This window comes from Homo sapiens, chromosome 13, assembly GCF_000001405.40.
Source record: "Homo sapiens chromosome 13, GRCh38.p14 Primary Assembly".
NCBI lineage: Eukaryota > Metazoa > Chordata > Mammalia > Primates > Hominidae > Homo > Homo sapiens.
The window spans coordinates 22400851-22417987 of record NC_000013.11 but is presented as its reverse complement, the minus strand read 5'-3'; the positions used below and the strand labels follow the sequence as shown (position 1 = coordinate 22417987).

At 35.2% G+C, this 17137-nt stretch overlaps 1 annotated feature.

Annotated features, from left to right (window-relative positions):
• Positions 13996-15195: an enhancer, noted in NCBI's record as "BRD4-independent group 4 enhancer chr13:22976932-22978131 (GRCh37/hg19 assembly coordinates)". NCBI's record gives its function as "activates an origin of replication core promoter dependent on BRD2, P300/CBP, MED14 and CDK7 cofactors, and independent of BRD4, by STARR-seq in HCT116 cells {active_cell/tissue: HCT116}" and the evidence as "EXISTENCE:reporter gene assay evidence [ECO:0000049][PMID:35650434]".

Genomic DNA, 17137 nt, shown 5'->3' with positions numbered 1-17137 from the left:
GCTATAAATACCCTTGTATAAGTTTTTGTGTGAACAAAAGTTTTCAACTCTTTGGGTAAATATCAGGAGCACAACTGCTGAATCCTTTGGTAAAGAATATGTTTAGTTTTGTAAAAAACTGACAAACTGTCTTCTAAAGTTACTTTATCATTTTGCATTTCTATCAGCAATGAAGAGGGTTCCTGTTGCTTTACATCACCACCAGTACTTGACATTGTCAATGTTCTGAATTTTGACCATTCTAATAGGTATCTTATTGTCGTTGTAATTTGCCTTTCCCTGATGACATATGACGTGGAACATCTTTTCATATGCTTATTTGCCATCTGTATATCTTCTTTCATAATGGGTCTTTTAAGGTCTCTGATCCAAGTTTTAATTAGGTTGTTTTCTTATTTATGAGTTTTAAGAGTTCTTCGTACATTTTGGGTAATATTCCCTTATCAAACATACAAGGGTATCTGGGTTTTCTCCTATGTCACCTTCCAGAAGTTTTATAGTTTTGTGTTTTACATTTAGGTCTGTGATTCATTTTGAGTTAATAGTTGTGAACAGTATAAGATCCATGTCTAGATTTTTGTGCATGGATGTCCAGCTGTTTCAGCACCATTTGTTGAAAAGACTATCTTTGTTCCATTGTATTTTTTGCCTTTACTCTTTTATCAAAAATCAGTTAACTATATATTTATGTAGGTATACTTATGGGATCTCTATTTTGTTCCATTCATCTATTGGTCTGTCCTTTTGATATTACCACACTGTCTTGATTACTGTGGCTTTATAGTAAGTCTTGAGGTTGAGTAATGTCAGTATTCCAACTTTGTTTTTCTATTTTAACACTGTATTGGCTATTCTGGGTCTTTGCCTATTACTACAGACTGTAGAATCAGGTTTTCAATATCCACAAACTATTTTGTTAGAATATTTATTGGGATTGCATTGAATCTATTGATGAGGTTGGGAAGAACTGTTATCTTGACAATATTGAGTCTTCCTATTCATGACCATGGAATATCTCTTCATTTTTTAACTTCTTTGATTTCCTTTATCAGAGTTTTGTAGTTTTCCTCATATATATCTATTTTTTGCACTTTTATGTGTGATCTTATTTTTGAATGTATTTTGTTAACAATTGACTTTTGTATATTAACATTGTATTCTGAAGCCTTACTCTAATAGTTTATTAGTTCCAAAAGGGTTTTGGTTTATTCTTTTATATTTTCTACATACATGATCACGTTATATGTGAACAAACACAATTTTAGTTATTTTTCCCAATCTGTATACCTTTTATTTCTATTTCTTCTCATACTGAATTACCTAGAATTTTCAGTATGATGTCAAAAAGGAGTCAAGAGAGGGGACATCTTTGCATTTTTCCTGATCTTAGTGGGAAAGTTTTTAGTTTTTCACCATTACAAATGGTGTTAGCTATAAGTTCTTTTGTAGATATTCGTTATCCAGTTGAGAAAGTTGTCATTGATTCCCAGTTTTCTGAGAGTTTTTGTCATGAATAGGTACTTGATTTTGTCATCTTTAAATTTATTGATATTATCATGATTTTTCTTTTTTATCCTATTGATGTGATTGATTACATTAACTAATTTTTGAGTGCTGAGCCAGCCTTGCACACCTGGAATAAACCCCACTTGGTCACGGTGGATAAATCTTTTTATACATTTTTGGATCAAATTTGCTAATATTTTGTAGAAGATTTTTGTATCAATATTCATGAGAGATCTTGTTCTGTAGTTTTTGCTTCTTGTAATGTCTTTTGCTGGTTTTGGTATTAGGTTAAGGCTGGCTTCATGGAATGAGGTAGGAAGTATTCCCTCTGCTTTTATTTCTAGAAGAGATTGTAGAAAAATGGCATAATTTCTTTCTTAAACATTTAGTAGAATTCATCAGGGAACACATCTAAGCCTGCTGCTTCCTATTTTGAAATGTAATTAATTATTGATTCAATTTATTTAATAGATATAGACTTATTCAGATTGACTATTTCTTCTTGTGTAAGATTTGGCAGATTGTGTCCTCAAGGAATTGGTCTATTTTACCTGTTATTTAACTCACAGACATAGAGTTGTTCATACTGTCCTTTTTTATTCTTTTAATGTCCATGGGATCTGTGATGATGCTCCCTCTTTCACTTAGATTTTAGTAATTTGTATCCTTTCTCTCATTTTTTCAAATTAGCCTGGCTAGAGGATGTCAATTTTATTATTCTTTTCAAAGAATCAGCCATTAGTTTTGTTGGTTTTCTCTATTGATTTTTCTCTTCTTTACTTTATTGATTGCTCCTCTAATTCATCTACTTATTTATTTTTCTGCTTATTTTGAAGTAAGTTTTTACTTCTTTTTTAAGTTTCCTAAGGTGGAAACTTAAATTATTGATTTCAGACATTTCTTGTCATCTAATATACGCATTCACATGCTACAAAATTCCTTCCAAGCCCTATCTCTGCAGCATTCCACAAATTTTGGCATGTGTTCTTATCTTCATTTAGTTCAAAATATTTTTAAATTTTTCTTGATATTTCTTCTTTAACCATGTGTTATTTAGAAGTAGATTGTATTTTTCCTCCCCGTTTTAGGTAGAACGGAATGGGTGGGGTTGGACAGATTGGGTATTTTCCTTCTCCTACATGGAAGGCTAGAGTTGGCTAGGGTTGGGTATTTTTCTCCCATCATCTAAGCTCAGACAGTACTCTGGCAAGTCAGGCTCTTGTTAACAAGTTTCTCCTGAGACCAGGTATTGTTATGAAGAACAGGGTGCACTAGCATATTTCAAGATGGTTGTTTTTTTTCTTCCCCTGCTGGAAGCATGAGGGGATTTTTTTCTCAGATACTTACCATGAGAACCTGGTTGAGCTCCTGGAGGTAAAATTCACAAAAGTGTGAATGGCCTCTATGACTGAGTCCCGCTGGACTTTTTAACTCTCAGATTTGCCCACATCTAGTCTCCAGTAATTCATTAATTATGCCTCAGTTATTTTTGACCCCAGCACTGGTTTCCACTCATGACTGACTATTCTGGTATGCCAGAATTTCATACATTTCCCTATCTCACCAATGTTAGGGTCAGAGGTTTGTTGTGTGTCCTCATGTTTTTTGGATCCACAAAAAGTTATTGACTTTTTTCAGTGTGTTTAGCTTTTTATTTATTGTTAGGATACAGTGGTGAGTTCCAAGCTCCTTACCTGCAAAACTGAAAATCAGAAGTCTTCTTTTGTTTTGTTTTGTGGCAGGAGAGGGAGAAAAATTTTCAGGTAGAGGAAATAGTATGTGCAAAGACCTTATTATGGAAGCAATTATGTTGGATTTTGAGGATGGAGAGCATGACAGTGTAGCTCAGATAGTGAGGAAAAGATCAGGGACAGATGTGATAAGAGAAGTTAATAGAAACCAGAACATTGAGGCACTTTTACACTGTATTAAAGATTTTTTTAATATTGTGAGAACAATTGGAAGATATTGAAATGTTTTAGGGAGACAGGTATCGCCATGTTTTTATTTTTTAAAATTTACTTTATGGAGAAATCAACTACACTTATCTACCTTTGCAATAAATAATCTAAAAGTGAAATTAACATAGTTCTGTTTACAATAATATAAAAAATACTTAAGAACAAATTTAGCAAATACAGTGGAACACTTATACTCTGCAAACTTCAAAACATAGTTGTAAGTAATTAAAGAAGACCTAAATAAACGGAAAGCCATCCCATGTTCATGGATCAGAAGATGTAATACTGTTATTATAGCAATAGTTCCCAAATGACATAAAGATAAAGATTCAACACAATTTCTATCAAACTCCCAGCTGGTTTCGTTGCGGAAATTGAAAAGCTAGTACTAAAATTCATATGGAAATTCATGGTAATAGTCAAAATAATCTTGAAAAAAGAAAAAGTTGTAGGACTGACACCAGTTTCAAAAACTATTACAATTCTACAGTAATCAAGACAGTAGTGAAGACTGGCATAAAGACAGTCATATACAGATTAATGGAATAGAAATAAGAGTCCAGAAATAAAAACTCTTGAGTGACATCAGTGAAAATGGTGAAGGAGTGAATTCCAATTCTGCTCCTCCACAAAACTAATAAATAAACCAGAATAAACTGTCAGGATCAAATTTTTCAAAATTTTAAAAAATAATCAAAGCTTACAGCATCCATAATTTGGCTTCATTAAGAAAATCCAGTGGACCTTGTGAGGGAGTTTTGTGGTGTTTTAAATTACTCTGGTTTCATCCTACACTCCCCAGCTCAGCAGCAGTTTTGAAGAAAACATCTGCATCATTCATACAGTTACCTAGTATCACAGAGAACAGAACAAATCTTATTTTCAGAGAATTATAGTTGCTTGTTTCACTCATAACTCTCCAGTGACTGAAGTGATTACCACAGGTGTGCTTTAATATTTAAAATCAAATGTATTAGTTACTTCCACCTGAGACAAAGGAAAACAGTTTAACAATAAACTAACTAAAATGCTTTGTAGGAAAAATAGGAGTGAATCTGATTTTCATAGTTGCCATATTATACAATTGAAATGTACAGTCTCCAAAAAAAATTACAAGGTATGCAAAGAAACAATAAGCCATGGCCTATATGCAAGAAAGAAAAGAAATGAATAGAAACTGTTTTTGAGGAATTAGACAATAACTTTACATTAACCATTTAAAATATTCTAAAAGAGCTGAAAGACATCATGTAAAGATAAAGGAACACTGAGAATCATATCTTACCAAACAAAGAATATCAGTAAAGGAATAGAAATGACAAACAGGAACCAAATAGAAATACTAGAGTTGAAAAGTACCTTAATTGAAATGAAAAATTTACAGAGAATGCAATGGCTAGTTCAGCAGGCAGAAGAAAGAATCAGCAAACTTGAGTTAGATAAATTGAGATGATCAGTCTGAAGAAAAGAAAAACAATGTATGAAGATAAATTAACAGTCTCAGAGGCTTGTGAATCACCTTCAAACATACCAACATATACACAATGAGAGTCTCAGAAGAAGAAAAGCGAAGAAAACAAAGAATGTTTGATAAAAGCATGGCTGAAAAGTTCCAAAATTGGGTAAAACACATTAATGTACACATCCAAGAACCTCACTGAACTCAAAGTAGTATAAATAAAAGATATTAACATCAACACATATAACCAAACTGTAGAATTCCAAAGACAAATAGAGAATCTCAAAAGTAGTAAAAGAGAAGTGACCTATCATGTATGTATACAAGACTCTCAATAAGACTGACAGCTAATTTCTCATCAGAAACCATAAAGGTCAGAAGGTGGTGTAATTAGGTATTTAAAGTGCTGAATCAGTAAAAAAATTGTCAATCAAGAATTCTATATCCAGCAAAACTATGTTTCAAAAATTAAAGATAAATTATGTTGATCCAGAATTCTATATCCAGCAAAACTATCCTTCAAAAATCAAGGAGAAATTAATGCATTCCCAGGTAAACAAAAACTGCGTGAGAGATTATTGTAGAGTTTTCTTCAAGGGCTAGCAGACCTTCCCTAGAAGAAATTCCAATGAGAGTTTTTCTGGTGTAAACAGAAGGAAAGTAGTAACTCTAATCCACATGAAGAAATTAAAAATACCAGTAAAGGTAACTATATAGGTAAATGTAGAAGTCAATATTAATGCATTCTTTTGTTTATCCCTTATCATTTTGCTATATTATTTAAGACACAATTGTGTTAAACAATAATTACAAATCTATGTTGATGGACATACAATTCATAAAGATGTCATTTGTAACAATAACAGGATAAGAAGGGAGTGGTATCAGAGCTATATAAAACCAAAGTTTCAGGATAATATGGAACCTAATTTGGTGTTAATTTGAACTAGATTAGTATATGTTAAGATGTTATTATTAAGAAAATAACTAAAAACAGATAATAAATAAAACAAGAAGGGAATCAAATGGCACACTAGAATATATCTATTTAACATAAAAGAAACCAATCATGGAAGAACTGAGGAATAAAAAAGGCAAGAGACATATAGAAAACAAATAGCAAAATGACAGAAGTAAACTGCTGATTTTCACCATTTACATTAAATGTGAATGTACTGAACTCTCCAATAAAAAGGCAGAGATTGGAAGAATGAATTAAAAAGTGATCAAACTGTATGCTGTCTACAAGAGACTTCAGATCCAAAGATACAAGTAGATTGCCATTAAAGGATGAAAAGACATATCAATCTTAAATATTTATGGTCATTTTATTTTTGACAATGTTTCTGGGATAATTTATTGGGAAAAATAAGAGTCTTTGCCATAAATGGTGCTGAGATAACTGAATATCCACTTGCAAAAAAATAAAGTTTAATCCCTATCTTACACCATAAATAAAAATTCTCTACAAATTTATCAAATTTGCTTGAGCCCAGGAGATAAAGGCTGCAAGTGAGCCACGATTCTGTCAATGCATTCCAGTCCGGGTAATAGAGTGAGAATTTGTCTCAAAGGAAAAAAAAGAGTAATTCCACGGGTAAAATCACAAACATTTAGGATGATGGATTGGATATAATTGTGTAGGAAGCAAAATGTCCATAGAGTATAAGCTCTATGAAGGAAACACTTTGATGTATGTTGTTCATTACTGTAACCCTCTAAACAGAACAATTCATGGTTGACAGAAGGTATTCAATAAATATTTGTTAAATAAATGCATAAATGGCTTCTATATTTCTTCAGTGCTCAACAACATAGATAGTGGTGCAATTCCAAAACTTTCCAGCTGAATTTATAAGAAAAGATACATATCAAATACCAAAAACCTTTGAATTGGCATGTACCATGTATAGTGTATGTAGGGTAGTGTCTTCCTACTGATAACAGTGAACAGCACTGGTTTCAAGTGTGGGGTTGAACACACTTTTCTTTGACATATTGAATTTGAGATGCCTTTGAGATATCCAAGAAGAAATCTTCAGTACACAGTTGGAGATATTGGTCTCAAACAAATGAATGTCCAAGGCTGGCTATTCAAATTTGATAATCAAGATTGTGCATGCTTAAGTCCAAAAGATATGTACATATAAAGAAATAAACAATACCCAGGACTGGACCAAGATAAATTCCAAACATTTAGCTTCCAGAAGAACAGAATGAGATGGTGAAGAAAAAACTAGAAATGATCAGAGAGGCGGAAGATTAGCAAATTATAATGTCACAGAGGACAAGAGACAAACATTTCTGAAGATTTGAGAGTTGGTCAAGTGTTATGTTGCTAAGAGATTAAGCAAAAAGATTTTTAAAAATATACCATTAGATTTAGTAGTGTGCAGGTTATTAATGTTTGTAGAGCTGTATAGATAGGATGATGAGGAAATAAGCTAGCCCTAAGTAGATTATAGAATAAGCATGAGGAAAAAACTAGAGAATACAATAGACAGCTTTCTTAAGAACATCTGTTGCATTAAAGTTAGTGCTTATTACATGATCCATGTAACACATTACAAAATATCGAAATAATCAGTGGATTTATTTCAGATGCATAGTCTCTGCCCTGATGCAGCTTACATATAAATGTGGATGTTTATGTGCATATGCATGTGGAATCTTAAATTGCAGGGCAATACTTTCTTTTATTTTCTAAAATGTATTAAGTGATGGAATAATATTAATAATTACTAAATAATTAATAACAATAGTTATTAAGTTATTCCATCACTTAATACATTTTAGAAAATAAAATAAATATAATTTATTTAAAATTTTACTTATGTTTTATCATTTAAAAAGCATATACATTTATATTATAGTAAATCTTTGGAACAAGGAAGATAAATTGATGAAGGGAGGATAATAGACAAGAACGGCATTGTTGAAGAGTCCAAGGAGAACAAAAGGAAATGTAGTTTGCGTATGGGAGACCTCTTGTCAAAGGGTTACAACCTTGAAGGTAAACTTAACCATGTATTTGTTAATTCTTTTCATTGACATCCAGGTGCTTAGAATTAATTCTTGGACATCAATATAACTTTTCTTAGATATATTTTTTTCCCATTTATTTTACTTTATTTTTAAATGTTTAAAAAATTTTAATAGCGTTTGGGGCACAAGTGGTTTTTGGTTATATGGACAAATTATATAGTGGTGAAATCTGAGATTTTAGTGCACCCTTCACCAGGGTACTGTACATTGTACCCAATATGTCATTTTTTAATCCTTTATCCACTTCCCATCCTCCCCACTCTGAGTCTCCAAGGTCTATTATACCACTCTGTATGCCTCTGCATACCCATAGCTTAGCTCCCTCTTATAAGTGAGAATATGCAGTATTTGGTTTTCCATTCCTGAGTTACTTCACTTAGAACATTGGCCTCCAGCACCATCCAAGTTGCAGGAAAGGATGTTATCTCATTTTTTTTAATGGCTGAGCAGTATTCCATGGTGTATATATAATATTTTCTTTATCCACTCTTTGGTCAACAGACACTTACGCTGGGTCCATATCTTTGCAATTGTCAATTGGACTGTAATAAACAATATGCATGCAGATGTCTTTTTCAGATAGTGATATCTTTTTCTTTGGGTTAGATACCCAGTAGTGAGATTGCTGGATTGAATGGTAAATTCTTTAAGAAATCTCCATGCCGTTTTCATTGTGGTTTCAATTTGCATTTCCCTAATGAAGTGGTGTTGGACTTTTCCTTCATGTTTGTTGGCCAATTTGTATAACTTCTTTTGAAAAATGTTTATTTATGTCATTTTCCCACTTTTCAATGGTTATTATTTTTTTCTTGCTGATTTATTTCAGTTTCTTATAGATTCTGAGTATTAGTCCATTGTTGGGTACAGAGTTTGCAAATATTTTCTTCCATTCTGTGGGTTGTCTGTTTACCCTGATAATTATTTCTTTTGCTGATCTGAAGCTTTTTAGTTTAATTAAGTCACACTTATTCATTTTTCTTTCTGTTGCACTTCGTTTTGGGGCCTTCATCATACATTCTTTGCTTAGGCCAATGTCCAGAAGAGTTTTTCCTAGGTTTTCTTCCCAGCCTATGCTGGGACTTTCTTTGAAGGAGGAAAGCAACAATTATCCTACATTTTAGTAAACACAGGCATTTGTTTTCTGAAAACTACTTTATTTCTCTTTCATTTATGAAACATAGTTTTCCTGGATACAAAATTGTTGGCAGACAGTTATTCTGTTTAAGATAGGACCCCAATCCCTTCTGGCTAATAAGGTTTCTGCTAAAGATAGGACCCAAATTGCTTCTGGCTTGTAAGTTTTCTGCTGAGCTTAGATTATATTTTTACATAGAATTCACATAGTGTCTAAAACTCCAACAGCACTTTGCATGATAGTGCTCTACAGATCAAGCATGGTAAATTTGAGTTCCTAAACTCCAAAGCCTTCAGGGCCTTGGACTATAAAACACTAGGGTTTCTGGTACCAGAGACAGCATATTCACCTAAAAGCATTCAAACTCAAAGCTTTTTAAAGTACTTTATTAGCTCAAGAAAACATGGCTGCCAGTTTTCAAACACTAGTTTAGAGCCTCCTGTCTTCTGAAGAAATATTAATAGAATCTGAACCAAAGAATTGACCCTCTCTTTGTATTCTTTCAATACCGTAATACTACTACCTGCTCATTCCACCTTTTGCCACTGCTTTGCTCCTCATAGATAATGCACTATATTCCTAAATGACTTTACCCTCTCTTTTCTTCCCCAGGAAACTCTCAGTCCCTCAGTGCAATAATGTAAATTAACTATTAAAGATAAATGTGAGCTAACGAAATAAAAATCTATGATATTGGTAATTATCTATAACTATAACCTATAATTTTCCGAGGAGGTTTTTCATTAAAATGCATAGAAGTTACATCAAAATGCAACTTCTACGACTCTTTATGGGGACTTTCCTTAAGGAATTAGTTCTATCGAAGGTGCATAAGCATCTGTTACTTTGGCTTTGATAAGTTCATTCCTGCATGTAATGATAAAACTGGGTATCTTTATGGTTCTCATTCTATGAACAAAATTATACATAAAATACTCTACTACCAAAGAAACCATTATAATAGGTTGCACTTACACAAAAATGCCTCAGGACAAACTTTTGAATGCTGATCTGTTGGATATTTTATCACGAAACTGAAGTGCTTTGGTCGTCAATATAGTAAGAGCAAAATCAAGAACTGAAACAGAGTTAAATGTACTAGAGATACAGCAATTCTCCCTGAGCCTTCCAAGACAGCCCTCACTAACCTGGGGTTATATAATGAGTTCAAATAAGTCCAAACATGTCCGCTTTACATGATAACTTATTCATGGAAAAGTGAGCAAGTACAGAATGACATGAGACATTCAGACCACTGCTGCCATTGAAATAAATATCTGTCAGTTATTGGCAATGGCTTTTAAAAACAAGCTGCATTTTACATGTCTTGGTGTATTAAAGATCACATCACAGCCAACATATTATCAAAGCTCAAAAACAAAGAAATGTACAGCACACTTGCCAAGACCTTTTCTCAGATTTTTATTGCTGACAATACAGCTAGTGTTGTGTGAAGCATGTTAGTTGGCCAATTCACAAATACCATGCTTTGTTCTCTGTCTAAACCTGCTCCTGCATGACTTCAGGACTAATGCTATTTATTTTTGTTGTTGTTATTCAACACAATTTGGCAGAAATGCACAAATTCTGTAATCATTTAGTCAGTCTCTGAAATGCTTGTGAAATTCTTCCAGAATGGCAAGAAAAAATAACATTTCTGTGCAAAGATTAAAACACCTAAGTGACACATAGTTGACCTTGACAGTTTCTATTGTGAAGAAAGTTGTTGTGGATGAATCAGAGACATAAGGTCTTACCTAGACACAGGTACATGAGTAAACAAAGGAGTATGAGATGCTGGAGGTCAGGAAATGCTCATGATAGAATTAAATTCCTTCACAAATTATGGTTTGAGCAATCATTGTGTCTGATGTTCTGTGTTTGATTCTGAGTACACTTACAAAGATCTATGAAACAAAAGGCCTTTCCTGAGAGGGTTATACTAGCAATGGATGACTCAAATTGAGACCTTGCTCAAAAGGAGGACAGATAGAGTGGAATCCAGTTCACTTAGGGTCTAGTTCAGTCTCTGACTCTAATTTGTGATCTTTCACAAGCCTCTTTAATTTATGCCTCTATTCCTCACCTTTAGTACCTTTAAAACCAAATTAGCCAGTAATCTTTAAATTAAGCTGAACGGTGAACTGAGGTTCCCTTATGTGAAAGAACCTGGCTCAGTTAGGTCCAAGATTCCATTACCAGTCTTCCAAGTGACCCATTTCCTTTTAATCTGCCATGGATGTCCAATATTTATGTAGAGTTTCCAGCTGTCTAATTATAAAACTCAGGTTACGGTAGCTTTTATTCAAGCATATAGCATTCGATGGATAAAGCTGCTTTCCAAATACATCTAGTTTTTAAAATTTCTTCAAATAGTGTGATAAATGATCTCTCTGCAGCAAGACCTTAAAGCCTCAAAGCTAATTTTTTATCAAAAAATATATTGTCATTATTCCATTTAAGGTTGCAGAAAAATTACTATATCGTGGCACTCAAGATCTAGAAAAAGTACTCAGTAAACTCTACAGGTAATGACCCACAGTATCTGACATTCGTGTGGGTGCAACACCAAAGCTTCTACTCCATTTGCATGACTGGGCCATCTAGTACAGAGAGGCATGACATTAGCTGGAAATGTGATCTAGGAATACATGTTAGGTGTGATTAGCAGCTGTGCTCTCAACTTCCCAGCAAAGCAGCTTGAAAGACACACTGCAAATATACATTTCATTTCCAACATCTCTCACTGTAAATGAGGGCCAACAACCAAATGGTGTGCCAGAATCTAAGAGAAATTCTCAGCTACTAAAATATAGAGGGTGCTAACATACCTTCCTGCCAGAAACCAGAGGAATCATGCTGCCAGAATGTAGGCTGTCAGCCCCATAGTTCACAAATGTGAGAGAGGCACTGTGATTGTCGCTTTGCTGTGGGTTGCAAATCTGGGCTAGGGGAGGCAGGGGAGGCCTCCAGAGTACCAAAATTCTTCTATTTGCACCAGTACTTTTCCTCCTATATTCATTCAAGTCTGTGGCTCTGCAACTGAGGGCAGAGGAAATGGATTCATAATGAGGCACTGCATTTTGGAAGGTGTTGTCTCTAACAATAAAATACTGCAAACAAAAATGAAGACAGAAAAATCCCTAATAGCAGTGCATTCCATGTTGGCCTTTACAGAAAAGGTTTCCCAACTCCAAGTGTACATTACTATTGACAGAGATTTGAGAAGGGCTCTCTACAGAATGAGATAGTAAGGCAGGGAGAGTGAACGAAAAGCAGGGCAGGAGCAAACTGGGAGATTTAGGACCCGAATGACAACAAAAGCAAACATCATCTGCTCTGTAATTTCGCCAAAACCCACTTCGCAAATATACATCACCTGATGTTTTGTTTATAGTCCTTCTAATGCCTTTTCCTGATTCACCTTCATTTTAAGATATAAAATAATGCAGCGTTGTTCTAGCCTCCAAATGCAGCAATCTTTATTTTTTCTTTTTTGAGTTGGTGGCCTAGGCAAGAGTCCCCATGCAAATGACAGATGGGAGGAATACTCAGATCGCCATAGTTCCCTTTCAATTTCAGGTAACAATCCAGAGAAAGTATGTCTGACCAACCAACGCAAATCCTACAGGGGAACAGTGCTGTTTGTATATTTGTTTTTCTCCTTAGTTGAAAGAAAGATCACTAACAATTCTTTTTCACATGAGTGAGATTGTTTCTAATAATTGGGCCATGCTAAAAAAAATGATTTTGAGACAAATAAAATAGTTAAGTCATAAGGTTGGATTGTAAAACAATATCACCAAGATAAAAGAAAAGGGCTGTTTATATAGAAAACAGGCTGGGTATTTTCAATGAGAAAAAGACAACAGCATTCAAGAGGATTTTAATATGCCTCCAAAGGCAATGTACCAAAAAATGTATTATTTTTTTTTAATCCTTTCATGTACTCTTCTCAACATCGAAGCCTTAGGCTCCCAAAGGTCGCATGCAATCTGATTAAGTGGAAACAAAGAAAGGGAAAAGGTCACCTACAGAGTTCACAGAAAGTTTCTATGCTAAACGGGCCACTGAACAGCGAAGACTTGTTAAAAGGGCTGCCCAGTTTGGGTCCTTTTCTAGGTGCTTAATTTGAAATCTTAAAATCTATTAGCCCCGTTAAAATCACCACGTGTTCAAGGATCTTTGTAGCAGGACTCGCTGATGCAAAACGAGCACAAGAGTCAAGGAATCAACCCTTTCAGTGGGGTAGTAATGAGGCTGCTTGAGGTGTTGGTGCCTCACATTCAGAAATCTTGATGGGGAGTTAGGTGAGCTCACAGCCAGCCAAAATGCTTTTAGCAATCATGTAAAGGATCACAGAAGTGAAAGATGAAAATATGATAGTGATTTTCAAACTTTATTTTTAAAAATAAAATATACAGAACAGCATTTATTCACCATTCATTCCAACAAATGTTTACTGAGCATCTACTCTGCACAAAGAACAGGGTGGTACATCAGTAAGGTTCCTGTCTTCTGGAAATTAATATCCAAACAAGCAAGTTATTGTGAAATAAAGAGAAGTGGGAGATCTCCTTACCTGCTCTGATTCCAAGATAGACTTTAAAATATATTTGAGCAACCCTTGGGTTTCATGTCACACTTCAAAAAATACGTCTAGAGCATAAATGCTAGACCACTGCTAAAATAAAATTAGAAAAAAAAAAGTGATTACTAATGGTAAGAGAGTACTATCAGGAGCACAGAAAAAGGAGAACATGCTCTTAATATTTGTAATTATGTATATGCACTTCTTCTACGGATACAAACTTTGAGGTTAATTGAAGACCCAGCAACAATAATGAGCTGAGAGAAGCCAGTGATGTAGCAAATGGTGCAGGGCATTTTTGATGTTTTACCACATGGATGGTATTTCCTTTACAATTCACTCTGGCTTAAGCTTAAAAGCCTACTGTGTTTTTAAAAATGTTCAAGACAGTCAGTGAAGGTGTTGGACTGAATTTCAGTTCTTACATACCACTAACTTTTGTGATCTGTATTCCTAGTTTCCATGATCCAAGTAGGCAAGACAGGTTTTTATTTGCGTTCATCTGGACAATGTGTGTGTTTTAAAATTTCCATACCTCGACCACTGCTTGTGAACTGTGAAGTGTCTGGAAGCTCAAACAGTACCTGTATCTACAGAAGATCTGTGCTTCTAGTTGGAAATGAAGAAAAGCTTCCAATAAAGACCAGAGGGTAAATTGGGTGATTTTGAAACTTAACAGGTCTTCTTATTGCAAACTCCTTGGGAAAGGAAGGAGCTGAGAAAGTGGAGAAATGGGGGAAGGGCAAAATTAGGGAAAGAGAAGGAGGTAGAAGGTAAACTTACTCGAATTCTGCAAGATCAGAATATATAAAGTGAACCTAGTCACTACAGGCGTTGCTCAAATTCCATTCTGAGACTTAGTCACTAATATTCGGCATTTTTTGTGATTATTTTATAGACATGATGTCATTGTTTCAGTGTTTTACTAATCACCAATGACACAACTGCCAGAGAGCACAGTTATAATGTCATGATGTTATGAGTGGAAAATGTTGAATTGTGGTGGGCGGGGAGGGGAGTGGTTCAGATGACGGTCAAAGTATCTGGCGTGGACTTTCTTGGTGAACCAAATCTAGACTTTTGGGGGGTTCTATGTCCTAGAAGCATATTTAAGAACTCACTGTTTTATAGCTTTAAAAATACCCATAAAATTTAAAGATTCTGAAATGGGAATCTTGGGGAACATGAATAAAACCCAGACATTCCAACAAAAACAACCTTCTTCTTTTGGACAAGTCCAGGTTTAGACATTCCTGGAGTTTATTACCACAAAGCAGATCAAGCTGGCAAATGTACCAACAGGCCCCTCGGTCCTTCTGCGCAGTGTCCTCTCACAGCTGCTCCCACAAACACACTTCCCCAGGGATGATGAATGTGCCCTCTGCCAAGGGAAGAACCAGGCAAATGCAGATGTTTCTCCATGAAGAGGCGACATGCATTATGCATTTGTGATCTGGGCTCAAACTGCAGCTGCCAGTGTGGCATGATGCATGGAGTCAGACTCTAGGAGTGTTCTTGGCTGGGCCATCGGGAAGGGGACCAAGGGACCAGGGATATATAAACCTCAAGCCCTTATTGTGGATTTTTGCTTAGTCCTTACTCTTTTCTCTTCCTTTGCTCCACACCCCAGTTCTGTTTCCAACTTATCGCCCTCACCTTATTTCATCTTCTCCCTTAGCTGAGCTAATTATGAGCTTGATCAAGGACAGATGTTTACTCCTCCCTGGGAGAAAGGCAATTCGGACTCACTTCTCTGCGAATTTCCAAATGGGACTTACTTAAATTAATTTACATTTGGAACAGTAGGGAAACTAACAACAAATCATAGACCCTAAAGAAAAATAATACCTTGGGCCGGGCGCAGCGGCTCAAGCCTGTAATCCCAGCACTTTGGGAGGCTGAGGCGGGCGGATCACAAGGTCAGGAGATCGAGACCATCCTGGCTAACACGGTGAAACCCTGTCTCTACAAAAAATACAAAAAATTAGCCGGGCGTGGTGGCGGGCACCTGTAGTCCCAGCTACTCGGGAGGCTGAGGCAGGAGAATGGCGTGAACCCGGGAGGTGGAGGTTGCAGTGAGCCGAGATTGCGCCACTGCACTCCAGCCTGGGCGACAGAGCGAGACTCCGTCTCAAAAAAAAAAAAAAAAAAAAGTATACCTTCAACTGTTACATGAAAAGAACCACAAAGAGCCATCTAGCAGTTTTCTTTGTTTCTTCCAGTTTTTCTGAGTCCTAGCACTGGAAATCATGAGGATATTTATTTATACTGCACATCCTGTGAGTTCTTCAGCAGTAAGGGGCAGAATAAATGAAAGAGTACTATGGACTGAAGGGGTTCCGTGACTGAGAAATAAGCTGTTCCGATAAACTGAGTATTGTCTTTACTGGAGAAATGTAAGCAGTAATTACTCAAAGTTATTCTCTGAAATAAGAAGAACTACTAATATAGAGAGATTTATGCCTCGGGAAACTCCTTCTTTCAGATGTGTGTAATTGGGATAGCAGGTACATGGTGTTACATTTGGTGTGATGTGTACTTGGAAATAAAAGGATTTAAACTCTCTCAGCCTGGGAATCATACCACCAATCAAACCTACTGTGAAGAATTATACAAATACAGTGAAAAGTCTCTGATAAATAAGCAGAATATATAGGAATAATACAATTCACACCTTAAACTTCACACAGCTAACAAGAAAAAGGCTTTAGATACATCACAGGTATTTTTAAACAAATGTGATTTTTAAAAGTCGAGATGTGATTCTGAAAATTATTTGAGCCACTGGAAAATTGTAGTTAAGGGGACAGTGTATATATAATAGTCATTTTTGATAAAAATATCAACCCCACATTTCAAAATAATCTCTTAAGGAAAAATAATTTGAATATGCTACTTCAGAATAAAAATTATTTTATCATTTAAAAGTACAGAAGTAGTATGGGCATAGAACCTGTTCAAAAGTAACAGATGAATGCAAATGTAACCGTGGCTAAAGCGTTAGCTAGAGACTTGGATGGCACCACTATTCTCCCAGGATCCAAGGTAATTTGGGGAGAATTGCGTTTTCTTTTCTTTTTCTCTAGTACCTTCTAGCAGATGAGTTAAATTTCTGTATAGAGATTGTCCTAACTTTTATCTACTGTACTCCTGTTTCTACAGGGGTTTATCATACTCCTTAATAGAGACATGGTAGGGTAAGACAAGAGAGGCATTTGCTGCTAGCACAGAATTTAAGAGGTGTCAGTAAATTTGGTAATCAAAATGCATAGTATTTAATGCAATATTTACAAGAATCAAATGCAAAAAAAAGTTCATGATGAAGAAAATGCTCCACTTTTAAATAAAGATTGGATCTGCCCCTGTACTGATGGACTCAGCCTCACAGTTCTTTGCTCACTCAGGCCCTGCTTGTTAAGAACATTGTTGCCTGCTGTCAG